This window comes from Homo sapiens, chromosome X (genome assembly GCF_000001405.40).
Source record: "Homo sapiens chromosome X, GRCh38.p14 Primary Assembly".
In the NCBI taxonomy this organism is placed as follows: domain Eukaryota; kingdom Metazoa; phylum Chordata; class Mammalia; order Primates; family Hominidae; genus Homo; species Homo sapiens.
In genome coordinates this window covers 9,502,034-9,529,455 of record NC_000023.11, presented here as the reverse complement: position 1 = coordinate 9,529,455, position 27,422 = coordinate 9,502,034, and the positions used below count along the sequence as shown (strand labels likewise).

Below are 27,422 nucleotides of genomic sequence, written 5' to 3'. Positions count from 1 at the left end.
CAACCCCTCCTTTAGCACGTCTGAAATTCAGCATTCCAGGCAACTGCGGAGATGAGGCCATCATCCCTCAGGACTGCCTTTAACTCCTGGATCCAAGAAAACTGTGGCAACCACAAAGACCAGAGATAACAGAGGACCGGCAAGAGAGTAAACATCTTGGACCTTGAGGGCCATGCCATCTCTGCTGCAACCCACCCAAGTCTGCCCTGGTGGCACACTAAAGCAGCCACAGAGGACACAGAAAGCAATGGGCATGGCTATGTCCCAATAAAGCTGGATTTTCAAATATGGGCCGTGGTTCACACAGACCTAGAGCCTGATCAAAACGTTACCATAGGCACTTCCTTTGTGATTTAATTTTAACAAGCCATATGCTAATTTTGAAATTGTTTTCCAAAAAACCCAAACAAAGCAGGAAAAAAAAAATCAGAAAACTTTTCCACTCCGTATTTTTCAGTGCTGGTTTCCAGAACAGCCAACAACAGGTGGGATAGAATTTGGTGTCGCGGATATAGCAGTGTGTGGCCAAGATTCCCGTTCAGGGCTTCCCCCCATCTCCAGCTGCCACCCTCACCCAAAGCCAGGCCCCAGTGAATGGGCAATGTGGACCTTTACAAAGGCCTGGGCCCCTTGACTTGAGTCAGGACAAGCCGAGACCCAGAGCACCCATGGGTTCAGCTAAAGACTCTGTGACCCCGCCCCAGTCCACTCCTCCCAATCCCCAAAGCAGCACCCCCCGCCCCCACTGACCCCACCCCCTCCCCCCGCAAGCTCCTGCACTCCCCAGACTCTGATCCTGAGCCTCTCTCCCAAGATCCTCAGCACTGTGGCTTCCCAGGAAACCCATGTGCAGCTGCGGGTCACCTGCCCAGGGGCCCAGAGTGGGAACTAGGCAAAGAGGCTGGGGACGTCTGGAAAGGCAGGCCCGGGTACCATACTGAACTGTCCCTCTTCATCTGACAGTCGTTTCTATTTCAGAGACACTTCCTTCCAAACGCCAATGCCTCACAGTCTCTATTCCTGTTCAGGGCCTCGGGAGAACTCCTCGCTCTTCAAATGGGAAGTGAAGTTACCTGTGTTCCTAAGACCCCCTGCATATAGGACAATTCCTCGGAAATGAACTGAGCTGCAAATGTCCTGACACAGGCTACAACATGGGAGAACCTCAAGGACATTATGCTAAGTGAAAAAAGCCAGACACAAAAGGACAAACAGAGCATGACTCCACTGACATGAGGCACCTCAGACTAGTCAAATCCACAGACACAGAAAATAGAACGGTGGGTGCCAGGGGCTGCGGGGGAAGGGAGAATGGGGAGTTACTGTTTCATGGGGACCAGGTTTCGGGTTGGGATAATGAAAAATTTCTGAGGCTGGGCACGGTGGCTCCCACCTGTAATCCCAACACTTTGGGAGGCAGGAGTGGGTGGAATGCTTGAGGCCAGGAGTTTGATGCCAGCCTGGGCAACCTAAGGAGACCACGTCTCTACAGAAAAGTTAAAAAATCAGCCTGGCGTGGTGATGCGCACCTGTGGTCCCAGCTACTCGGGAGGCTGACATGGGAGGATCGTTAAGGCTGTAGGGAGCCGTGATGCACTCCAGCCTGAGCAACAGAGCAAGACCCTGCTCCACTCCTCCACCAAGAAAAAGAAAAAGTTTGGGAGTTATGAATGGCGGTGATGGTGGCGGAACAGTGTGAATATGGGATCCCAGCACCTCAGTGCCCATAAATAAACACACTCAGTCACTCACATGTTGTCAATGGCTGCTTTTGCCATATAACACCCAGAGACTACAGGGTTTAAAAACCACAAAATATTTATTATCTGGCCATTGACAACAAAAGGTTTGCCGACCTCTAACAAAAACAAACCAAAATATGGGGTGGAGCAAGAAAGCAGAGAAGATAAGGTTCCACCGATCAACCCCCACCCCAAGGACACCAATTTAACAACTATATACATACACACAAATAAATAAACCAAAATATCCCAAACCTTTTTTTTTAACGCACATTTAGGGTCAGTGCCTAAATACGGCCTAGAGAGATTATGGTGAATCACTTAAAAAAAGGTCGTACTACAATAAATACAACAGAGACGAGACCCCTATAGGAATTTTCCTCAAAGGAATCTGTAGGGCAAACGGGCATCTTGTCCTTCTCTCTCAAGAGTCCCTCTCCCACACTGGAAATAAACTCCCGTGGTGAGTAGAGACAGCTGGCTTCTCCTGAGACGCTGCTGAGCTGCAGCTACAGTCACTCCTCACACTGCGCCCCCTCTCGGCCCACCCTACACCAACGTGGGCTAGGGAAGCAAAGGGCTTTGGGGGTGGACAGGTCAGGACCTCCTTTGTCCTGTGTGATCCACGGCGATCCTCCTTTCCCCTGTGCGATCTCCCTGCCCACGCCTGGCTCATCTCAAATCCCACGCAATCTCCAAGCCTCAGCTTCCCAGTGGTTCCGTGTGGCGGGGCCTTTCTAAATGCACAGGGGAGGGCGCTCCCCATCACAATTCCCATGACAGGGGACTGACTCCCCCCTTTGGTGTGTCTGTGGCTGCTTTCCAGTATCTGCCTCCCCACAAGTCTATCAACTCCAGGAGGGCAGAAAGCAACTTTCCCCAACGCGACTACCTCTGAGCATGGACCTGCACAGGGGAAGCTGCTGACACATGCTTACAGAATATTCTATGAAATTCAAAAGTCAGTGGCCATAAATGGAGTTTTATTGGAATACAGCCACATTTGTTTGTTTATGCAATGTGCAGGGCTGCCTTCTCACAATGTGGCTGAGTTGCAGAGGTGAATAGTTGCCAAGACTGGCCCCAAAATCCTAAAATCCATACTCTCTGGTCCCTTACAGAAAAAGGGTACCCACCTTGCTGCAGAAGAAAAACCACAGGGCTTAGAACCGAAAAATTACATCTTGGCACAAGCTCTGCTTCCCAGGGACCCCGGGCAAGTCGTTTCACCTCCACTTCTCCGAAAGGAAAAGACCACACCAGAGTCATCAACATCTCTCTCAACTTAACACTCCAGTTCACTCTCAGATCAGCTCAGAGGACTTGAGAGCAGAATGCCAAAAACACAGGCTTCATCTAGAAAAGATTATGCGCAATCTATTCTGCTCATTTAGGTAACAGGCAAATTTTATCTACTTTTGAACTCATCTCCACCTCCGGCCCCAAAATAAGTAAGGAGGAATTCAGTAAAGCTCAGAGAGCCAGACTTCACTGAGTCAACCAGGTATTACAAAGAGGCTGTGTTTTTTTTTCTCTCTCTCTCTTTTCTCTCTCTCTCCCCTCCCCCGCCCGTCTCTCCTCTCTCTCACACACACACTCACACACATACACACATGCACAGACGTTCTCTCTCTCACACAGACCCCTTCATCTTGAACTATAGGTGCAGCTGCACGCATTAGTCTTATTTCTGACACAGAAAGAAACAAGACTAGAAACAAAAATGAGGCAGGAACGTTCCCGGACACAAGAATAGCGCTAGATGCTTCAGCACTCAAGCCTTTCAGGCAAAAAGAGGAAAGAAAACCACATCGAAGGCATCTAACACTCCTAATAGTAGTATTAGGGGTTTTTTTTTTAAACACAAAATCTCTTTGGGAAAAAATTATTTTCTCTGCAAAATAGAGGAAAGTGCCTGTCCAAAAATGTAATTTACATAAACATTTAAATTCTGGCCAAGTTGGTATTGTTTTATGTGTCACATATGCTTAAATACCAATGCACATTTATATTACAGCTGAAGTGAGTTATTTCCTCCTGCTCATAATCAGTTCTTAAACAGTACAAAGTCAAAGGCAAAACAACACTCAGGAGACTATGCAATTTTTCCATTCAAATCTGGATAATTTCTTTTTAAAAAGCAAATCTCTATCATGTAAATCTCAGCAAAAACTTCTCCTTATTAAGCAATTATAGACCATTTGGATACTCCAGGGAAGGTCTAATAACATCTTAATATGTGGCTCCCAGTGTTCCCGCGGTATTTGCTATTACAAGTTAGAGTTACGTGTTCACTTCTCTTATGGAGAAATTTGTCCAAATACCTAGGAAGGCAGGCTCAAAAAATAAAAATAAAAGCATACAGTCTATTGAGCTATTAGGTATACTACTTTAAATATTCAAAACAAGTAAAGTGTGACTCTGACCTCAAGTCTAATGGGAATTTGGAAGGAGAACAAAAACAGCTATCCTCTTAAGACTGCCTACGGGGGACCCATGGTGTTCCGGGTTTCCATGGAAGGTGTGTGGAAAGACGAAATTTCTCACCACTGAGAGAAATCAAGAATCCCAATAAATCCCACTGTCTTGTCTGTAACTGACTCCCATCTCTCCAGCTCCTTGACCACACCCTGGTCCAAGGAACCATCATCCCTCTGGAATATTCTAATGGGCTCCAACAGCCAACCCACTTCCATTGCCAACTCCCTCCAAGGACAGGTGATTGCTGGAGCCCAGGAGTTCAAGACCAACCTGAGCAACATACCAAGACCTCATCTCCACCAAAAATACAAAAATTAGCTGGGCATGGTGGCATGTGCCTGTAGTCCAAGCTACTTGATAGACTGAGGCAGGAGGATCGCTTGAGCCCAGGAGATCAAGGCTACACTGAGTCACGATCGTGCCACTGCACTCCAGCCTGGGGGACAGAGTGAAACCCTGTCTCAAAACAAAAGGAAAAAATAAAAAAGGTTTAGAAAGCACACATCAAAGAACTGAAAGCAGGATCTTAAGGAAATATTTGTGCAGGCAAGTTTGTAGCAGCATTATTCACAACAGTCAAAAGGTGGAAGCAACCCAGGTATCCATCTACAGTTACAGGAATAAAGTGACCTATCCATACAATGGAACAGCACTCAGCCTTAAAAAGGAAAGACATTCTGACACATGCTACCATGTGGACGAACCTGGAGGACAGTACGCTGAGTGAAATAAGCCAGTCACAAAAAGACACATAGTGTAGGATTCCACGTATCTGAGGTCCCAGAGCTGTGAAGCACACAGAAACAGAAAGTTGGGTGGGTGCTGGGGCTGGGAATGGGGAAATGAGTGGGTAGTTATGTATGGAGTTTCAGGACTACGAGACAAAAGGAGTTCTGGAGGTTGGCTGTGCAGAGTATGAATGTACTTGCTGTTACTGAACTGTACACTTAAAAATGGTTAAAATAGGCCGGGCACACTGGCTCACGCCTGTAATCCCAGCACTTCGGGAGGCCAAGGTGGGTGGATCACCTGAGGTCAGGAGTTTGAGACCAGCCTGGCCAACATGGTGAAACCCTGTCTCTACTAAAAATACAAAAATTAGCTGGGTGTGGTGGCGTGTGCCTGTAATCCCAGCTACTCAGGAGGCTGAGGCAGGAGAATTGCTTGAACCTGGGAGGTGGAGGTTGCAGTGAGTGAAGATCGTGCCACTGCACTCCAGCCTGGGCAACAGAGTGAGACTCTGTCTAAAAAAAAAAAAAAAAAAAAAAAAAAGGTTAAAATGACTAAATTTTATATTACATGTATTTTACCAATAAAAAGAAAAGAAAAAAGCACTATTCAACAAATCATGTTTTTGATATTTTGACAATTGCACTTTTAATCGCTTCCTTTATGATTCTACTTTTATTTTAGAATGTGATTCTGAGACCTCTGCGGCTTCACTCGATGACTACAGAGAGCCACGCACACACACAGAAAGGTTAAGAACACTGGTGTAAGGCAAGGGGGCCAATAAAGGCACACGACCCTTTGAGTCTCAGGCACAAGGAGTTTGCGCTTATTTCCCGTCAAGGGTGGGGCTGGGGGCGCCTCGCTGAAGTCTCTGTCCCCACACTGTGCTGAACCACTGGTGTTTTGAGAGAGTCTTGAGCATCAAGATAAAGGAGACACCAGAGTGGAGAAAGACAGGACCCTGCCAAGTGTGGGTGACATGGCCCAGTGTGGCCTGGGGTGGGTGACATGACCCAGTGTGAGTGGCGTGGCCTCATATGGTCCAGTGTGGGTGACCTGGCCCAGTGTGGGTGACTTGGCCCACGGTGGCCCAGTGTGGGTAATGCTGCCCAGGGAAAGGGGCACCCCAGGTTGTGGCACCAGTCGCTGTTGCTCAAAAGGCAGGGACAGAGGGGCTGGGCAGACTCTGGGGGTTCACAGTTCCGAGTTCCCGGGTGCCCTGGGAAGAGTGCTTCTTTCAAGCGGGGCAGAGGCCAGACTGCATGCGGTGATCAGGGTGAAAGGGTGACAGCTGAAAGGAGTGGAGTCTTTCTTTGAAGAATGACAACGAGGGAGAAAAGCTAAAGCAGGGCAATCAGCTACTGGACTTGGGGTTTGGGTTTTTTTTAAAACATAATGCTTAGTTTGTGTTTTTAGTGCTAAAGACAAGTGGAGAGTCTGTGTAGAGAATGAAGAATAGAAGACAGAGGTGAGAGAGATTTTCTTCCCATACAAAGCCTACAGTTTTTACTAAATCCCAAACCACAAGAACTCTTGCTGACCTCACAAAATTAAACCCATGTTGTCAACATGTTCAGAAAACCTTGCACACAGATGGAAACTTTCAGATGGTCTTTTCCTTTCCCATGGGGAAATGTCAACAGAGTCGCTGGGGATGGAGAGCCTGACAAGGGCCTCCATTCAAAGGTGGGAGCCTGAGAAAGTGAGTTCAACCGAGGCAGGAGGGACAAGGCATTCCTGCTGCAGAGAAGTGGGGGCAATGAACTCCACTTCAACTGCTTCTCCTTAGAGCCAGCTTTCCTTCACTAATTAATGAAGAACTCTCGAGCATCCAAGCAAGAAGAAAAATCACACAGTCCCAACCCTCCTGGCATTTACATAGTCATAATGAGAAACACACAAGGCTGGAATCCAGCACACCAAGTTCTGGGGTGTGGGATACGTGAGCACGGGCCCTGTTCTCCACCAGTGCTCAGCCTCGGCCTTCAGAGAGCTCCTCCCACCTGCTATGGTCAGCCTTCCCCAAGCCATGGGGCCTGCAGGTTTCGCTTCCAGAACCAGCCCACTGGGATCATCTGCAAGCCCTCATCCTTCCCTCTCACTCAAGGACCAGAGAGTCTCACGGGCTAACCTGCTCTGTCCAAGACACCTCCCCATATGGAGCTACTGAAATACATATTTAGGCTGGGCATTGTGGCTCAACACCTGTAATCCTAGCACTTTGGGAGGCCGAGGTGGAAGCATTGCTTGAGACCAAGAGTTTGAGACCAGCCTGGGCAACATGGCGAGACCCCCATCTCTACAAAAGTTAAAAAATTAGCCGGGCAAAGTAGCTCATGCCTGTGGCCCCAGCTACTTGGGAGGCTGAAGTGGGAGGATCGCTTGAGCCCAAGAGGTCAAGGCTGCAGTGAGCAGTGATCGCGACCCTGCACTTCAGCCTGGGTGACAAAGCGAGACCCCATCTCAGGGAAAAAAAAAAAAAAAAAAGAAACGAAGAAAGACAAAAATAAATATTTAAAAGGAATAAAATTTAAAATTCAATTCCTCTGTTGCATGAGCCACATTTCAGGTGCTTCATAGCCAGATATGGCTACTAGACTACACAGAAAGTTCCACTGGGCATGTAGTCCTTTTTAGTCTGCTCTGACTTAACCAATTAAAGCTTTGGTTTTTGGGGGTTTTGTTTGGTTGCTTGCTTTTTGTAGTTCAAACTATAACTGACCCTTGAACAACACGGATTTTTTTCAATAAATACAATTGGCCCTCCTTATGGGCAGGTTCTGCATTCACAACCAAATTCAGATGGAAAATACAGTATCTGGGGATGCAAAACCCATAGACACAGAGGGCTGACTTTTCCTATCAGCAGGTTTTGCTGAGAGGACTACAGGATTTGAGTGTGCAATCATTTGGGTATCCGCAGGAGGTCCTGGAACCAATCCCCCAAGGATACCAAGCGATGACTGTAATGAGTTCAAATAAGCTCTTAAACAGAAGGCCTTGACTCAAGTACACTAAATGAGGCTACTCTGATTCTACGCAGGGGTCATGGGAGGAAGGTCAGCCCTGGCCAGCAGCCTCCCCACCCCCAAGCACGCACTCTCTGCTCCCCAGTGTACAATCTGAAAGCCTGGGTCAGTTCCTGCATCTACCGGACCCACCACCTCTGGCTTTCCCTGCTCCCTTAAAACACCAAGACCTTCACATTAGTCATCTCTAGGCAAAACTTTTTAAGAGAAATCATCTTCCTTTCTGCTTCCAAAGGTTCCACGTTTACGACCTTCCCATCTGTTCTGCTCCTTTTCCAAGGCTAAAAACCCTCAAAATTTCCCTCCTGCAAAAAATACGTCCCCTCCCCCCATTCTTTATCTTATCTCTTTAACTTCTTTTTTTGTTCCCCTTAGAAACAAGGTCTCCCTCTGTCACCCAGGCCGGTGCGCAGTGGCACAACTGCAGCTCACTGCATCCTCCAACTCCTGGGGTCAAGTTATCCTCCCACCTCAGCCTCCCGAGCAGCTGGGATTACAGGTGCATGCTACTATGTCCAGCTAATTTTTGTATTTTTTGTAAAAACAGGGTCTCTCTATGCTGCTGCTACCCAGGCTGGTCTCCAACTCCTGGGCTCGAGCAATCCTCCTAACTTGGCCTCCCAAAGTGCTGGGATTACAGACATGAGCCACCATGCCTGGCCTCTAGAACCTGTTTAACTCAACCACAAGTCTCCCCTAGTGTAAAAAAATCCTTCCCCCACACCAGCTTCCCTGTCAAGTGCTGTTCTACGTCTCCCCTTATCTGCAAGGAGGACCACTCCAAGGAGAGGTGTTCCCCCAATACCCCCATCTTTTTAGCCACTATCCCATTTATTCCATCTTCAGCCAGCCGCAGATGCACTGCCCCTACCCTGGAAGCCAACGTGGATACTATGGCCTCTATGTGCCAAGGACACCTCTGCAGCCCTGATAACTCTAGGTCTCCTCTCGCCTCTCATCAATCTCTGCTCACTCTTCAGGATCTCTTAGGGGCACACTCTTCCAAGGAACTCCCCCTCCTCCCATCTCCCTGGTCTCTAGCCCCAGGCCATCTCTTCAGCTCTCAGCCCCATTTCCAATTCCTATCTCCAGAGTTCCCTTTTTACACCTCTGCCTTGTGTCTTCCAACTAGACCACAGTCCCTCGGTGGGGGGCGGGGGGCGGTCAAAGATCTGTGCTACTTATTCTGGAAGAGGAGGTGCTTGGTAAATAGCCGCTAAATCCAGCACCAAAGTTCTGCAGTGTAAGTGGGATTTGCCTCCTTTGGGTTTTCCATGCACATATTCCAGTTTGTGGCTACATAAAAGGAAGGTGCGGGGAGAGGAATATTTAGAGCAGCAAGTAATGGAAACCAGGGGCAGATGAAATCGTTCAATGACGAAGGAAGATTACAGTAATCAGCCCCACCCACAACTCCGACTGCCAGAACACTCATTGAAGAACACCTTCTTGTAAGCTCTGCTCCTACCAAGAAATACTCCAGGCCAAGGAGATCAAAGGGCCACATGCCCATCTCCTCAAAGTTATTTTTAGATCTTGTCAGAGTAGGACAGGAGAAATGAGAGATTTCCCACTCCACAATTATTCTGGCAGCTTTTAAAGTAGGTTAGCATGAAAAATCATCTGGGCTGTCACTGCCGTTTTTGAATTCTAGCTAATTTTTATCCCCGTTCCTCCAACCCCCTCTCCTTGCCACTCTCCCAGCAGCAGAGGTACATGCCTGCAGCTGAATGCCTGGAGAAGTCAAGAAAGAAAATGAGCAAAGGCAAACCAAGGAAGCCGCTTCCCAAAGACACCAGCGCCACTGTAAAAAAGATCCTGCCTGCCTACTTCATGTCTCAAAAAGAAAACATGTTGAGAGAAGAAATTTTCAAATGACAGTGCTCTCTAAATTAAAAATGGGATACAGCCCAAGTCTTCTTTTGTTACTTCCTCAGAAATGTTTTTCTCCTAGAAACTATGCTGTAAAAAATAGGGTCAAATTCCCAACTAGCCTAGAAAGGCTTTTTAAAGCCCACAACGTAACTGAAATGTACATTTGCAATGAAAAATATACAAGTAGGCCGGGCCCAGTGGCTTACACCTATAATCCAAGCGCTTTGGGACAATGCAGTGGGAGGATCACTGAGCCCAGGAGATCGAGGCTGCAGTGAGCTACGACTGCACCACTGTACTCCAGCCTAGGCACCAGAGCAAGACTCTGTCTCTAAAAAAATTAAAATAAACTAAATAAATATATATGTGTATATATATGAAGTATACCATATGGTGGCAACTGTACATTGTGGCATTCCATGTCTCAACCATAATGTTACTGAGGGGAATGTGTTCCACGTACCATGGACAAGACAGAAACCACGCGGCATCTCCTTCACGTGTTATCTCCCTAGTCCAGGCTCAAGGTGACACAACCATCTAAAATAGTGAACGCAAAGGCAGGAGATTGGGTCAGCACACTTCATATGTATGTTAAGCTGGCATTGCACAGAAGGCACTAGAATGTAGCTAAGCACCAGGGGAGCAGAAGGCTGTCCATGTAAAATCCCAGCTCCACCACCTCCTACATGGGTAGGAGGTGTAAGGCCCTGCCTTACACGTCAGCATGGACAGTCTGCCTGTGTGGCTACCACTCTGGTTCTATGATAACGGAGTAAGGAGGGTCTTCAGGCTAAGTGGCTCTCCGAAGCTAACACCAATTCCCAAAAGATTGTCACCAACAATCCCAATTTCTGGGTGACTGAGGAGGATACAGAAAAAGGCCATGAACAAAGGTCATCTTTCAGATGACCCAGCCTCCTCTCTTCTCATGCCCTGCACAGAGGTGACCCACACCTCCCTCATTTCATGCAACAGCCCTTAGGCTCTGTCCTCTGGTCGCAGCTGTTATAGGACAAAGCCAGCAACAATCCCTTCCAATCCTGAGGTATAAATAACTGATAAGGTTTAATGTATTACCTCTCCCAGGACTATTGGCACTTTAACTGGGACAAGACTTCACATGAAGTAAGTGACTCTCGAATTATGAAAATACCAGGCTTCTGCAAGCAAGGCAAGATGAGAGTAGGGTGGAAATGAAGAAGGGATCAGGAGAGGTGAAAGTCCAAGTCACACCACCAAGATGGTACGTGCCTTCAAGCACTCAGAACTACACGCTAGTTCTGCAGAGGACCAGAGAGCAAATATCTTAGGCTTCGCAAGACAGACAGTGTCTGTTGCCATGGTTGCAACACCCCTTGTTGTGAAAAAGCAACCATAGAAAATATGTCCATGAATGGGCATGGCGGAGCTCCAGTAAAACTTTATCTGAATGTCACATCATTTCCATGTATCAACAAGGTACTGTTTTTTTCTTTTCTTTTTTTTTTTTTTTTTTGAGAGAGGATCTGGCTCTGTTGCCCAGGCTGGAGTGCATTGGCATGAACATGGCTCACTGCAGCCTCGAACTCCTGGGCTCAAACAATCCTCCCGCATAGCTGGGGCTACAGGAGCACTGCCACCATGCCTGGCTTTTATTTTATTTTATTTATTTTTAGAGACAAGGTCTTGCTATGTTGCCTAGGCTGGTCTTGAACTCCTTGGGCTCAAGTAATCCTCCCACTTCAGCCTCCCAAAGTGTTGGGATTACAGGCATGAGCCGCCGCTCCCAGTCTCTTTACTCTTTAAACATGTAAAACTATCTTCAGCTCGTGGCTTCTACCCACAGAACCATCCACTCATGCACTCCCCAGGGCACTGTCCTGCAGAATCCTGACTGAGTAGTGCTATGAATTTTCAAGGAAACCCTTCCGGCATTTGGAGAAGCACCAGGGTGCCCTGAAAAGCACACGGCTTTAAAATCCCACTGGCCCACCTGCCACCATTCAGCTTGCAGATCTGCAGTTCAGAGTTTGGGGACCTGGCATTTGTCACTGCCTTGGCCTTAGTTTCCCAAGTTATAAAACGGAAAGAGTCTTTCTAGTGATGTGGATTTGCTATGCTGGCTTGAATGCACCTAGGGCACTGCCCTGCAGAAGGCAGATTCCTGAAAAAGGTCCCTGCTATAATACTGATTCTTTCTGTCTTTATCTCCCCTTGGGGCTGGGTTATGCTCCTGCCTGGGCCTCGGAGGTCGGGGTTTGGTGTCTGTTTGGGGATCTGACCACGGCACTGAGAATGCACAGGTGTATGGGAAGGAATCCACAGTTCAAAGAGCAGAGGGTCAAAGGCAGGGCAGGCTACTCGGATTTCCTCAAAGAACACACACAGATGTTGGCCTTACCCTCTTGGCAGGTCCAGCTCTCAAACGTGCAAGAAACTCGTTCCTGCAGGCTCTTCCTCTCGCCTTTCCTGGCCTTGTCTCCGGCCCTATCTGACTATCTCTACTCTGTCATTACCCACCCTGGGTGGTTCCTTCCTACCACGTTTCTTCTGCTCTCCCAGAGACTGTATAGTACTCAGTTTATAACGAAGATGTTTTACAATTCCTACTTTGTGCTGTAACAAAATAGCAAGACAGATGTTTAGGTAACAAGTCTCAGGACCCAAAACCCTGATTTTTTTTTTAACTTAATGTGCAATTTCAGTAATTCCTTTCTTATTTGAACTAAGCACCAGAACAACTCTACAAAGCTCACAGCAAAATTGCTGAATATCAGGAAATATGAAATGACCTCCTCAATGTGGTAAGCTTTTTTTGAAAAACACTTTTAACCAGAAGTATGCTTTTCATTTTGCTACATCATGCTTTATGAAGGGGACAGTCGTTCCAATGACTTAAAACGATGGGCTTCCAATCATTTCCAAGCAAGAGTCATTGGAGGGCAACACAAAGACTGGTTACCCAATTGCACCAAGTGTGTTGTCAATTTCCCTTGCATTCTCCCTAAATGCTCCGAAAGGAAATCACCTATGTCAGTTTTCATCTGCGATGATAAAGAGGACTTGAGGTATCAAGTATTTCCCCACCCTGAATAGTGAGATGGATGCTTGAGGAGCTGATGCTTGGCCAGTGTGCCTGTGGCTCTCTCTTTATCTCCGTCTGTGCTGGCCCTTGAGAAAGGCTGTATTTTCGCTTATCTTCCCTCCAGTATGTGTACTCCCCTCTTCTAAAGGGCTGGACCACATTCAGCTCAGCCACTTATCTCTTGCTTTCTCTCTTTTGTTTTATTTTGGAGAAGGAAGTGGGCAAAGGCAGTGGGGGAGAGAAAAGAGAAAAATACAAAAGAGATGACACCACCCCACTTCCTCTGATATGAACCATGGTTTCACTGCTTGTTATGGACCCTTGGTTCTTAATTGTGGCAACACGGAGATAACAGGCAGGGACACATTTTCTGGAACCAGTGAATCTGAAACTGCTATCTCCACAATGACACTGACACTATGTCCGTGCACATGAACCAGCTGTGACCACACTAGATTACAGGAAGTATTTTGAGGACATGTACAAAAACAGTGGTCCTGCACCCTTTTTTGACAGGTTTATTGAGATATAAAACACATGCCATACAGTGGACCCATTTCGAGTACAACTCAACAACTTTTAGTACCTGCAGAGTTGTGCAGCCACCATCAGCACAATTTCAAGAATTTCCATTAACCCTGTACCCTTTAGCAGTGACAACCTCTTACCCGCCTAAAGCCCCAGTCCTAGGCAACCACTCATCTACTTTCTGTCTCCACAGACAGATCAAACCCTTTTTCGTTTAGCCCAAAAGCCTCTATAAATGTTGGACAGGCTCCTTGGCATCGACGACACTCACAAATAAATTCTGTCTTATCATATCTCCCTTGTGCAAGGCAGTAAACGAGCCTGGCTTCGGTTTCTACAAGTCACGCAGGCTTCTGCAATTTCACTCCATGCCTCACTCACAAAAAGAGCTTCCCAATCCCCAGACCAAAGGAAATTGTGCTGAATTCTTGACCAGTGCATGTCCAGATTCCTGGACGGGGATGTTCGATGATCTGGCTCCGCTACTGAGGTCAAGGGCTGCCACCTCCTCTTCCACACTCAGAGTTACAGAACTCTGGGGTGTTTGCCATTTCCAATCTCATTGCCTTCTCAGCAAGAGGTGGGAAAGAAAAATCATTCTGCCACATCCTGTGCTGATGATGTTGGGTTCCTGTCTATTATGAGTTTACATTTTGATTCTCCTAGTAAGGCGACTAACTGGCAAACAGGCCAAGCAGATCAGAAGAAGGAATTCCAAAGGGAGGTGTATATGGGCTTAATTAGTGTAAAACACAAGATGATCATCACTTGAGAGAGAAAAGTTGTTTTATCAGTTTATAAAATAAGGACTATAGGAACTTAGGAAGTGGATCCAAGGCAAAGGATTTCAGGTTGCAGTAAGTTGGGTGTTATTTTTCCCCCCTCCATCAGTCTGCCTGGAGCTTAAAAGGGAAATGATTTGTCTCATTTCAGCATCAAAAACAAAAGGAGCACACCCCATACACACATGAGCGGTACACACATCACATTTTAACTCCTGATAACATCTGCCTTCCCGGGGGTTGTCACCAACGCTCCCACCTCGGCCTCCAAGAAAGTCAAGGAGCTCCTCGCCAGGTTGTTCGCCCTGGCTCGCTATGAGCTCTTCTGCTCAATCCTCCATCTCATTATAAACTCTTCTGCTCAATTTATGTTCTGTTGACATTTGGAAATATATTACTGACTCTCATCTTTAACATGCAACTCACAAATGAGTACACGCAAAAAGGGTGAAATCCAAGTAAGGGCTCCAAGGCTAGGTAACTGTGTTGCACCAACGTGGATTTCCTGGGTTTTCCTGCTCTATGATCCTGTGAGAAGCCACTCCCCTTGGGGAAAGCCGGTAAAGGACACAGTACTGGGATCTGACAGCACTATGTTTGCAACGCAGTGTGAGTGTGTAATTAATCAAAAGAAATCATTTAAAACAAAAAGTAAAAGAAAATGTTAAAAATCTAACACAGTCTCTGTTACTGGGGAACCCTCCTGGGGCTTTGGAGAACAAAACATGGCAAACCCAAGGGACACACATGAACCCTAGAAAGGTCAATAAAAACTAACTGCAACAAACACAGGCAACGAACCAGGAAAAACCTCTCTGTAACTAGCAAGGAAATAAAGGTCTTCAACTGGATTAAGACTCAATCTCCTGCAAATTAAAAAAAAAACACTCACAGTGTCATGTGGGGTTTTTTTGTTTTGGGTTTGAGGGGGTTTTGATGTTGTTGTTGTTATTGCCAGGTAACTGGCCTCCGGTCTTCCTACACACAATAAGCAAGTGAACTACAGTGTAGCCTAACTTCAACACTACTGACACTCTGGTGCCAGGTAACCCTGTTATGGGGGCTGCTCTGTGCACGGTAGGATGCTTAGCAGCATCTTTGGTGACATAGTTTGGATGTCTTCCCTTTCCAAATCTCACAGTGAAATGTAGTGGGGTAATCCTCACTGCTGGAGGTGGGGCCTGGTGGGAGGTGTTTGGTTCATGGAGGAACCATGGCTTGGTGCCCTCCCCCTGGTACTGAGTGAGTTCCCTCAGTTCATGCAAGAGCTGGTTGTTTAAAAGAGCCTAGCCTTCCCTCTGTCTCTTGCTCCCTCTCTTGCCATGTGAGACACCTGCTCTCCCTTTGCCTTCTGCTATGAGCAAAAGCTCTGAGGCCTCCCAAGAAACCAAGCAGATGCCGGCACCATGCCTGTACAGCCTGTAGAACTATGTGCCAAATAAACCTCTAAATTACCCAGTCTCAGGTATTCCTTTACAGCGACAGAAAACTAATACACCTGGTTACTATTCACTGGATGCCAGTAACACTCCCTCCCCAAGCTGTGACAACCCAAAATGTCTCCAGACTTTGTCAAATGTCCCCTAGGTGCAGATCACCCCCAGGTGAGAAACACTAGTCCAGGGAACAAACATCTGTTGAATCCAACTGGCAAAAATAACAGGAGTCTAAAATTTACTGGGTACCTCCTACATGCCAGGCAGCCTTCCATGTGGATTCCAAGTGGACGAATTCAGTGAATCCTCCTAAGGATCTGATAAGCAGGTGCTCTTAGGACATGCAAAGAGGTAACTAAGGCAGAAAGAGGTTAACCTGCCCCAGTCGGGAAGCAGATCCCTCCAAATCTTCTGCACCCCCCCACTGGAGTACACCATCAGGCCACCTCGTGAGGGGAATTTCTGCTTGACTATACTCGTCAGTAGAGTCTAAGTTCAGTGAAAACTCAAGCAACAACCTGGGTTAGTTTAATATGACTTGCTACCTTGTCCAGTCTAACAAAACCCAAAGCATTGACTCCTTTTAACTTAAAAAATAAAAAAGCAGAGAGGTCATCATAGGAATTAAAGAGGGATCTTCCTGCACGTGTAGCATGCTTTGTTTGTTTCCTCAACTGTGCCGAGACTCTGGGGGCTTCCTCCGGGTGCCTTCATTTGTATTCAAAATGCACAGTCCCAAGGCTTGGTTCTCGGAATAAGCAGAGCAAAGGAGCCGCATAAGGTCCTGGAAATACATGAACAGGCACCCTGTGGTTGTAGGCTCAAGGGAAAAGTGAAGACCACGCTGGTTTTTCAAATAAAGGGGGCTAGGAAGCCGTATAGTCAGTCGCTTGATCAGCAACTCCAACCTGACACGGAACTCAATCTTTCCCTGAAAGACTCACGGGAAAGGCACTAGGTGTCTGTGTTTCAAAAGACTTACACTGGCCGGGTGCGGTGGCTCATGCCTGTAATCCCAGCACTTTGGGAGGCTGAGGCGGGAGGATCACCTGAGGTCAGGAGTTCAAGACCAGCCTGGCCAACGTGGTGAAACCCCATCTCTACCAAAACTACAAAAAATTAGCCAGGCGTGGTGGCGCATGCCTGTAGTCCCAGCTACTAGGGATGCTGAGGCAGGAGAAACACTTGAACCCGGGAGGTGGAGGTTGCAGTGGATCACGCCACTGCACTCCAGCCTGGGCAACAGAGACTCCATCTCCCAAAAAAAAACCAAAAAACAAAAAAACGTACATAGAGAAAGTCTGAAAGCCCACAAGAGCAATTAGCAAAAGGAACCCTGACATAACAAATACAGTGATGTCCAAAGACATTAGCAACCAGGTAGTTAAGCTCAGGGGGTGCCACGTGTCATAAACTTGAAAGCTGCATTGGTCATGAGTAACACAAATGTAGGTGCTACCACAGACAGCTGGTGGGCATTTCAAACTTTCTCTTCATATCTATGATGAATTCATGGATACCCAAAACAGTGAGCTTCCATTTAGAAAAAGGAACCCCCTTGGCACACATCAACGATTTCAGTGTCATCAAGATCAATGTTAAGGCCAGGCGTGGTGACTCATGCCTGTAATCCAAGGTGGCTCATGTCTGTAATCCCAACACTTTGGGAGGCTGAGGCAGGAGGATCACTTGAGACCAGGAGTTAAAGACAAGCCTGGGCAACATAGGGAGACCCCATCTCTACAAAAAAATAAAACTAGCTGGGAGTGGTGGCATGTGTCTGTAATCCCAACTACTTGGGAGGCTGAGGTGGGAGAATCACTTGAGCCCCAGAGGTTGAGGCTGCAGTGACCTGAGATCGCGCCACCGCACGCCAACCCAGGCAACAGAGCAAGACCCTCTCAAAAAAGAAAAAAAAACAGATAAATGTTAAGAAGTAGACAACCTGCCCTCATTTTCTTCCCAAATGACTATTTCATCTCAAAAGCATCCATCGGTTTTGGCCTTTCAAATAGTCTTCATTATTAAACTTGGACCAAAACTTTAATTGCCAACGTCATTTCCAAAGTATGATGTTGCAAACAATTCCACTACACAATTCACTGAGAATTGAGAAGTACCAACTGTAATTGTGAGCTGGAAAATGATTAAAATGTGTACAAAACAGACAGAAATAAAACGTATTTAACCTATGTTTGGAAGACAAATGCCAACCCATCCTCCAGGGGTAGAATTTTTAAAATCTCCTATTTGGAATCACAGAATACTGGTATCTTTTCTTCACCCACAGCACATCCCACAGGGGTTCAGGTTGTCTTTCTGATAAACCCTAATTAACTTGCGTCTCAGGTGGTTACATGGCTTCCACTTCTTGTCATCAGGTGAGCTGATATTGCAGGAGCCACATCTGAGGAGAGAACATTTCAACCCACAAGCCAGGCAAGCCATTCCCTAAAACACATTCTGGATTAGAGAGATTAAATCTCCTGCATGCCAGCGGGTCAAATGTGCACAGGAGAAAAGAATGAAAGACCGTGATTATCACCATCCTGAGCCCTCTTGGCTTTTACAGTTTCTCTGTTTTAACTCCCATTGAGTACTGACTCAGCACTTCTCAGTTTCATGGAAGGACTTCACTTACCAAATCCAATGCTTGGCCTTTTTTCTGTAAAGGGCCAGAGAGTAAATATTTTCTACTTTGTGGGCCACACAATCCCTGTACTTACAAGCACGTATTCAACTTGGCTGCTGTGGCAAGAAAGCAGTGATGTTAGTCAGGGCTGTCCAGAGAAACAGTGCCAATAGGGTTTGTTTATGTGTGCGTGCGTGGATGGATGGATGGATGGATGGACGGACAGATGGACAGATTCTAAGGAACTGGTTCACACAATTGTGGAGGCCGGCAAGCCCAAACTTTCCAGAGCAGGCCAGAGACCCAGGAAAGCGCAGATGTCACAGTCTCAAATCCAAAGGCAGGATACTGGTAGAATTCCCTCCTCTTTGGCGGACCTCAGTCTTTTTCTTAAGGCCTTCAACTGATTGGATGAGGTCCACCCACATTATGGAAGTCATCTGCCTTACTCAAAGTCTACTGATGTGTTTATTTCATCTAAAAAATACCTTCACAACAACATTCCTAAGTACCTGACCAAATATCTGAATACTATGGCCTAGCCAAGATGACACATAAAGTTAACCATCACAGCAGCCAGAGACAACCCATGAATGAATGGGCATGGTTGTGTGCCAAGTCTGGACACGGCCCCGTGGGCCACAGTCTGCTGGTGCCTGTTGTAATCCATCCTTCAGACAGATGCCAGTTTTGTCTTTCTAAAGCACCTGTTCAAAGGTTTTTAATGGTTTCCAGGACCTAAAGAAAAAGCCCCCCTCCTCCCCACCCAACTTCTTGGATTAGTCCAGTGTCCAAGGCGTTCCACACACACAAGCTCTGCACTAACTGCAATCCAAATCCCACTTACCCCAGGATACAATTTCTCCACTCCAGTCAAATCTGTCTACCCTACGGTCCAGGATTTCTTACCTGTGGCACTGTAGACATTTAGGGCTGGATAATTTGTGGGGGGCTGTCCTGGGCAGTGTAGGATGCCCAGCAGCATCCTTGGCCTCTACCCACCCAATGCCATAGCACCCCCACCCCATCAGCTGTGACAACCAAACTCTAGATGTTGCCAAAGGTAAAACAGGAGAATGTTAGGGTGTGGTGATTATACCGCAATTAAAGCTAGAGGGAACGCTGTCAGTTCCTGGGCCTTCATTTGCTGACACAGAAGTGAGGTGTAGCTCTCTAGAAGCAACTCACAGTGTCCATATCATTAATAACACAAGTTACAGCAAGGACGGCACTTTCCTGCCCTCCACACACACAGCCAACAGTACAGTCAACACAGACTCGCAGCATGCAGGGCCATCTCTGATAACTCAGAAAATGCACGCCATTAACAGTGACAGCAAAAAATCATCCACTAAAAGCAATTCTAGACCAGGCACAGTGGCTCATACCTGTAAACCTAGCATTTTGAAAGGCCGAGGTGGGCTGATCGCGTGAGCCCAGGAGTTCGAGACCAGCCTGGGCAACATGGTAAAACCCCATCTCTACAAAAAATACAAAAATTAGCCAGGCATGGTGGCGTGTGCCTGTAATCCCAGCTACTTGGGAGGTTGAGGCAAGAGGATCACTTGAGCCCACGAGATCAAGGCTCCAGTGAGCCATGACCACATAACTAACACTCCAGCCTGGGTGACAGAGTGAGAACCTGACTCAAAAAAAAAAAAAAAAAAAAGCGATTCTGTACATACAAAATGATGCTATCTGGGGTCTCATACTACCCATGTGTCTGACTTCATCCAAGGGTTCTTTTAGGCAATGTACTAGAAATCTTTTTTTTTTTTTTTTTTTTGAGACAGAGTCTCGCTTTGTCGCCTCAGCTCACTGCAACCTCCACCTCCCGGGTTCATGCCATTCTCCTGCCTCAGCCTCCCGAGTAGCTGGGACTACAGGTGCCCGCCACCACGCCCGGCTAATTTTTTGTATTTTTTTTTAGTAGAGACGGTGTTTCACCATGTTAGCCAGGATGATTTCGATCTCCTGACCTTGTGATCCGTCCGCCTTGGCCTCCCAAAGTGCTGGGATTACAGGTGTGAGCCACCGCACCCGGCTTTTTCTAAAAAAACAAAAAAAAAACAAAAAAAACAGGATACATGCGCAGAACGTGCAGGTTAGTTATACAGGTGTATGTGTGTCATGGTGGTTTGCTGCAGCACCCTACTACCTAATTAGTAGCACCATCCCTACTGACCCTCATAGTTCCCTCCTCTCATCCCCACTCCCCAACAGGCCCTGGTGTGTGTTGTTCCCCTCTCTGTGTCTATGTGTTCTCAATGTTCAACTCCCCCTTATGAGTGAGAATATGCGGTGTTTGGTTTTGTTTCTGTGCTAGTTTGCTGAGGATGATGGCTTCCAGCTTCATCCATGTCCCTGCAAAGGACATGATCTCATTCCTTTTTATGGCTGCATAGTATTCCATGATGTATATGTGCCACATTTTCTTTATCCAGTCTATCACTGATGGCCATTTGGGTTGGTTCCATGTCTTTGCTATTGTAAATAGTGCTATAAGAAACATACACGTGCATGCATCTTTATAGCAGAATGATTTACATTACTTTGGGTATATATCCAGAAATGGGATTACTGGGTCAAATGGTATTTCTGGTTCTAGATCCTTGAGGAATCGCCATACTGTCTTCCACAATGGTTGAACTAATTTACATTCCCACCAACAGTGTAAAAGCATTCCTATTTCCCCACAGCCTTGCCAGCAACTATTGTTTTCTGACCTTTCAATAATCGCCATCTGACTGGCATGAGATGGTATCTCATTGAGGTTTTGATTTGCATTTCTCTGATGATCAGTGATGTTGAGCTTTTTACCATGCTTGTTGGCTGTGTAAATGTCTTCTTTTGAGAAGTGTCTGTTCATATCCTTTGCCCACTTTTTGATGGGGTTGTTTTTTTCTTGTAAATATGTTTAAGTTCCTTGCAAATTCTGGATATTAGACCTTTGTCAGATGGGTAGATTGCAGAAGTTTTCTCCCACTCTGTAGGTTGCCTGTTCACTCTGATCATAGTTTCTTTTACTGAGCAGAAGCTCTTTAGTTGAATTAGATCCCATTTGTCAATTTTGGCTTTTGTTGCAATTGCTTTTGGTGTTTTAGTCATGAACTCTTAGCCCATGCCTATGTCATGAATGGTATTGCTTAGGTTATCTTCTAGGGTTTTTATGGTTTTGGGTTTTACATTTAAGTCTTTAATCTATCTTGAATTAATTTTTGTATAAGGTGTAAGGAAGGGGTCCAGTTTCAGTTTTCAGCATATGGCTAGCCAGTTTTCCCAGCACCATTTACTGAATAAGGAGATCCTTTCCCCATTGCTTGTTTTCGGCAGATTTGTCGAAGATCAGATGGTTACAGATGTATGGTGTTATTTCTGAGGTCTCTGTTCTGGTCCACTGGTCTATATGTCTGTTTTGGTACCCATACCATGCTGTTTTTGTTAATGTAACCTTGTAGTATAGTTTGAAGTCAGGTAGCATGATGCCTCCAGCTTTGTTCTTTTTGCTTAGGATTGTCTTGGCTACGTGGGATCTTCTTTGATTCCATATGAAATTTAAAATAGGTTTTCCTAATTCTGTGAAGAATGTCAATGGTAGTTTGACAGGAACAACATTGAATGTATAAAGTACTTTGGGCAATATGGCCCTTTTCATGATACTGATTCTTCCTATCCATGAGCATGGAATGTTTTTCCATTTGTTTGTGTCCTCTCTTATTTCCTTGAGCAGTGATTTGTAGTTATCCTTGAAGAGGTCCTTCACATCCCTTGTTACTTGTATTCCTAGGTATTTTATTCTCTTTGTGGCAATTGTCTATGGGAGTTCACTCATGATTTGTCTCTCTGCCTGCCTACTGTTGGTGTAAAGGAATGCTTGTGATTTTTGCACATTGATTTTGTATCCTGAGACTTCACTGAAGCTGCTTGTCAGTTCAAGAAGTTTTTGGGCTGAGATGATAGGGTTTTCTAAATACAAAATCACATCATCTGCAAACAGAGACAACTTGACTTCCTCTCTTCCTATTTGAATACCCTTTCTTTCTTTCTCTTGCCTGACTGCCCTGGCCAGAACTTCCAATACTATGTTGAATAGGAGTGGTGAGAGAGGGCATCCTTGTTTTGTACCAGTTTTCAAAGGGAATGCTTCCAGCTTTTGCCCATTTAGTATGATATTGGCTGTGTCTCTTCCAGGTTTGGGTATTGGGATGATGCTGGCTTCATAAAATGAGTTAGGGAGGAGTCCTTCCTTTTCAAATGTTTGGAATAATTTCTGAAGGAGTGGTACCAGCTCCTCTGTATTTCTGGTAGAATTCAGCTGTGAATCCATTTGGTCCTGGGCTTTTTTTGGTTGCTAGGCTATTAATTACTGCCTCAATTTCAGAGCTTATTGGTCTATTCAGAGATTCAACTTCTTCCTGGTTTAGTCTTGGTAGGGTGTATGCGTGCAGGAATTTATTCATTTCTTCTAGATTTTCTAATTTATTTGCATAGAGGTGTTTATAGTATTCTCTGATAGTAGTTTGTATTTCTGTAGGGTCAGTGGTAATATCCCCTTTATCATTTTTTATTGTCTATTTGATTCTTCTCTATTAGTCTAGCTAGCAGTCTATCTATTTTGTTAATTTTTTCAAAAAACCAGCTCCTGGATTCAATGATTTTTTGGAGGGCTTTTTTGCGTCTCTATCGCCTTCGATTCTTCTCTGATATTAGTTATTTCTTACCTTCCGCCAGCTTTTGGATTAGTTTGCTCTTGCCTCTCTAGCTCTTTTAATTGTGATGTTAGGGTGCTGATTTGAGATCTTTTTAGCTTTCTGATGTGGGCATTTAGTGCAAAATTTCCCTATTAACACTGCTTTAGCTGTGTCCCAGAAATTCTGGTACATTATCTCTTTGTTCTCATTGGTTTCAAAGAAATACTAGATTTCTGCCTTAATGTCATTATTTACCCAGGAGTCATCCAGGAGCAAGTTGTTCAATTTCCACGAAATTATGTGGTTTTGAATGAGTTTCTTAATCCTGAGTTCTAATGTGATTGCACTGTGGTCTGAGAGACTGTCTGTCATGATTTCAGTTCTTTTCCATTTGCTGAGGAGTGTTTTACTTCCAATTGTGTGGTTGATTTTAGAATAAGTGCCATGTGGCACTGAGAAGAATGTATATTCTGTTGATTTGGGGTAGAGAGTTCTGTAGACTTCTACTAAGTCCACTTGATCCAGATCTGAGTTCGAGTCCTGAATATCCTTGTTAATTTTCTGTCTCACTGACCTAATACTGACAGTGGGGTGTTAAAGTCTCCCCCTATTATTGTGTGGGAGTCTAAGTCTCTTTGCAGGTCTCTAAGAACTTATTTTATGAATCTGGGTGCTCCTGTATTGGGTGCATATATATACATTTAGAATAGTTAGTTCTTCTTGTTGAATTGTTCCCTTTACCATTATGTAATGCCCTTCTTTGTCTGTTTTTATTTTTGCTGGTTTAAAGTCTGTTTTGTCAGAGACTAGGATTGCAACTCCTGCTTTTTTTCTTTGCTTTCCATTTGCTTGGTAAATTTTCCTCCATCCCTTTATTTTGAGCCTGTGTGTGTCTCTGCATGTAAGATGGGTCTCCTGAATACAGCACACCAATGAGTCTTGACTCCTTATCCAATTTGCTAGTCTGTGTCTTTTAATTGGGGCATTTAGCCCATTTACATTTAAGGTTAATATTGTTATGTGTGAATTTGATCCTGTCATCATGATGCTATTTGGTTATTTTGTACATTAGTTGATGCAGTTTCTTTGTAGTGTCATTGGTCTTTATATTTTCATGTGTTTTTGCAGTGGCTAGTACCAGTTTTTCCTTACCATATTTAGTGCTTCTTTCAGGAGACATTGCAGGGCAGGCCTAGTGGTAACAAAATCCCTCAGCATTTGCTTGTCTGGAAAGGATTTTATAGAAAGCTTAGTTTGGCTAGATATAAAATTCTGGGTTGAAAATTCTTTTCTTTAAGAATGTTGAATATTGGCCCCCAATCTCTTCTGGCTTGTAGAGTTTCTGCTGAGAAGTCCATTGTCAGTCTGATGGGCTTCCCTTTGTAGGTGACCTAGCCTTTCTCTCTGGCTGCCCTTAGTTTTATCCTTCATTTCGACCTTGGAAAATCTGATGATTATGTGTCTTGGGGTTGATCGTCTCATAGAGTATCTTAATGGTGTTCCCAGTATTTCCTGAATTTGCAGGTTGGCCTGTCTTGGTAGTCTGGGGAAGTTCTCCTGGATAATACCCTGAAGTGTGTTTTCCAGCTTGTTTCCATTCTCCCCACCTCCTTCTGGTACTCCACTCAATCGTAGGTTCAGTCTTTTTATGAGGTCCCATATTTCTGGTAGGCTTTGTTCATTCTTTTTTCTCTATTCTTGTCTGCATGTCTTATTTCAGTAAGGTGGTCTTCAAACTCTGATATCCTTTCTCCTACTTGGTCGATTCAGCTGTTGATACTTGTTTATGCTTCACGATACTTGTGTGTGCTTCACAAAGTTCTCGTGCTGTGTTTTTCAGCTCCATCAGGTTGCTTATGTTCCTCTCTAAACTGGTTATTCTAGTTAGCAATTCCTCTAACCTTTTATCAAGGTTCTTAGCTTCTTTGAATTAGGTTAGAACATGCTCCTTTAGCTCATTGTAGTTTTTTATAACCCATCTTCTGAAGCCTACTTCTGTCAATTCATCCATCTGATCCTCCGTCCAGTTCTGTGCCCTTGATGGAGAGATGTTGTAATCATTTGGAGGAGAAGAGGTACTCTGGCCTTTTGGGTTTTCAGCATTTTTTCATTCTTTCTCATCTTCATGAGTTTGTCTAGTTTCAGTCTTTGAGGCTGCTACCCTTGGATGAGATTTTTGTGGGGACCTTTTATTTGATTGTTGTTGTTGATGCTGTTGTTGTCACTTTCTGCTTGTTTTTCTTTCAGTAGTCCAGTCCCTCTTCTGTAGGGCTGCTGCAGTTTGCTGGTGGTTCACCTTCAGGCCTTATTCATCTGATTCGCTCCCATGCCTGGAGATGTCATTAAGGATGCTGGAGAGCAGCAAAGATGGGTGCCTACTCCTTCTTCTGGGACCTCTGACCTCAAGGGGCACCAACCTGATGCCAGTAGGATCACTCCTGCAGAGGGTATCTGACAAGCCCTGTTGAAGGGTCTCACCCAGTTGGGTGACACAGGGAGCAGGACCCGTTTAATGGAGCACTCTGTCCCTTGGTGGAGAGGGTGTGTTTTGCTTGGGGGAAACCCACTCATCTGGGCTGTCCAGATTCCTTGGAACTACCAGGAGGAAAAGCTAAATCTGCTGGTCAGCAGAGACTGCGGCCACCCCTCCCCTATGGGCTGAGGCCCAGGAGATCCAAATTCTGTCCCTTAGCCTCTGGCTGGAGTTACTGGAGATCCAGCAGGGAAGCGCCCCGCCCCACACACACCCCAACTAAGAAAGGATGGGTTGGGATTGGGCCTGAAGAGGCACTCTAGCCGCAGACTGCCACAGCCAGTGTGTTGGGCTGTGGGGACAAGTCTTGGGACCAAGCTGTCCAGCCTCCCTGGCTCTAGCAGGGGAAAAGCGTAGCCTGTAGCTACAGAAATGGGTGCCACCCTTCCCCCTGTCCAGGGAGCTTAGCATGTTAGGCAGTTGCCAGTGCTGGCTGCTGCCCCTCCCTGCAGGAGTTCAAAGGGCTTAGACAGCAGGCAGCTGCAGCTGGTACTGGTCACCCCTCCCCGAGGAGTTTGGTAAGCTTAAGCGGATTCCAGCTGAGAGGCTGTAAGAATCTGTGTGTTCTGGGGCTGGGACACGAGGCCCTGGTGGCGTGGGTTCACGAGTGAGATCTTCCAATCCGTGGGTTTCACAGTTCTGTGGAAAAGCAGTTTCCCCGGCTGGGTAGCGTGCTCACTCACCTCCTGCCTTATCTGGAGTGAGGGGGTTCCCTTTCCCATGTGACTCTCAGGTGGGCCGCCACACCACACTGTTCTTCCTTCTCTCTGTGGGTCACGCCAGCCTTCTAGTCAATTTTGATGAGAGAACCCAGATACCTTGGTTGCTGATGAAGGATTCACACGCTTATTATGGTCTTTTCTGATAGCAGCCTCCCAACACCGTGGCTTCTAGTTGGCCATCTTGGCCCCGCCCTCCATAAAATGTTTTTAAATTCACTGATTTGAGTTCTGGAGGCTTGGAAGTCCAAGATCAATCAGCCTACATGGTGATGACCTTCGTGAGTTCTGCAGGCTGAGAAGTTCACAATTAAGGCACCAGCAGGATTGATTATTTGGTGAGGGATGTTCTCTGCTTCCTTCCAACATGGCACCTTGTTGCTGTAGCATCCAGAGGGCAGAGGGCAGGAACACTGTGTCTTCACATAGCAGAAAGTGGAAGGGCAAGAGACTAGAAATCTTAATTCTTTCAAAAAAGCTTTAGAAAGGTCTTGAACAGCAGAGATGAAAGAAATAAAAATGGTCCCTGCTCTCTAGGAACTTACTATGTGTTTACATCCACAAAGCAATTGGAGACAGTAATCTATTAGGGACATGGATTTGGAGCAAGACAGAAATGAATGTGAACCCCAGCTCTGCTCCTTGCCAGCTGGTAAGTACCCCATGTTTCTGGAGGAGAGGTTCTACATGTATGGGAAGAAAGGTGAGAAGCTCAGCAGCCTGCACTCAAGACTAGCATCATAAGCAAAGCTGGGCGGGAGGAGCAGGAACACCAGCTGCCTGCACAGGCACTGAGCAGAGAAGATGAGATGGACACATAATGGGTGGCCCCGTGATGGACAGCTTAAACTGGAGGAGGCATTTGACTGAGCAGCCAGTGAGGAAGCAGGGCTGGTCTTGAGCAAGACAAGTGTGTAAGTGTGAAGGAAATCCACCTGTCTATCAATTTTCTGGGTCCACAAAAAAATGTCAAAAGAAAACAGGTGAAGTTACATTTAATAATACATTCTATTTTACTCCACGTATCCAAGTGATCATTTCAACATGTAAACTGTATTACATTATCAATAAGATACCTTGCTTTCTTTCTTTTTGAACTAAGTCTTTGAAATCCAGTGTGTATTTTATACTTCTACAAGGCATCTCAATCTAGACTGGCCACATTTCAAGCACTC

The 27,422-nt window shown here is 45.8% G+C and overlaps 1 protein-coding gene across 4 annotated transcripts in view, besides 3 other annotated features; it reads right to left on the bottom strand.

Annotated features, from left to right (window-relative positions):
• TBL1X (transducin beta like 1 X-linked) overlaps positions 1-27,422 on the bottom strand; it is a 256,446-nt gene that overhangs the window by 190,285 nt on the left and 38,739 nt on the right. The gene's annotated exons all lie outside the window — the stretch shown is intronic.
• Positions 2,995-3,044: an enhancer, noted in NCBI's record as "active region_29402". NCBI's record gives its function as "activates an Ori minimal core promoter by ATAC-STARR-seq in GM12878 lymphoblastoid cells {active_cell/tissue: GM12878}" and the evidence as "EXISTENCE:reporter gene assay evidence [ECO:0000049][PMID:35858748]".
• Positions 6,000-6,524: an enhancer, noted in NCBI's record as "H3K27ac-H3K4me1 hESC enhancer chrX:9490972-9491496 (GRCh37/hg19 assembly coordinates)". NCBI's record gives its function as "activates a minimal SCP1, AML or CMV promoter by ChIP-STARR-seq in naive H9 embryonic stem cells {active_cell/tissue: H9 hESC(naive)}" and the evidence as "EXISTENCE:reporter gene assay evidence [ECO:0000049][PMID:30033119]".
• Positions 25,355-25,855: an enhancer, noted in NCBI's record as "H3K4me1 hESC enhancer chrX:9471641-9472141 (GRCh37/hg19 assembly coordinates)". NCBI's record gives its function as "activates a minimal SCP1, AML or CMV promoter by ChIP-STARR-seq in naive H9 embryonic stem cells {active_cell/tissue: H9 hESC(naive)}" and the evidence as "EXISTENCE:reporter gene assay evidence [ECO:0000049][PMID:30033119]".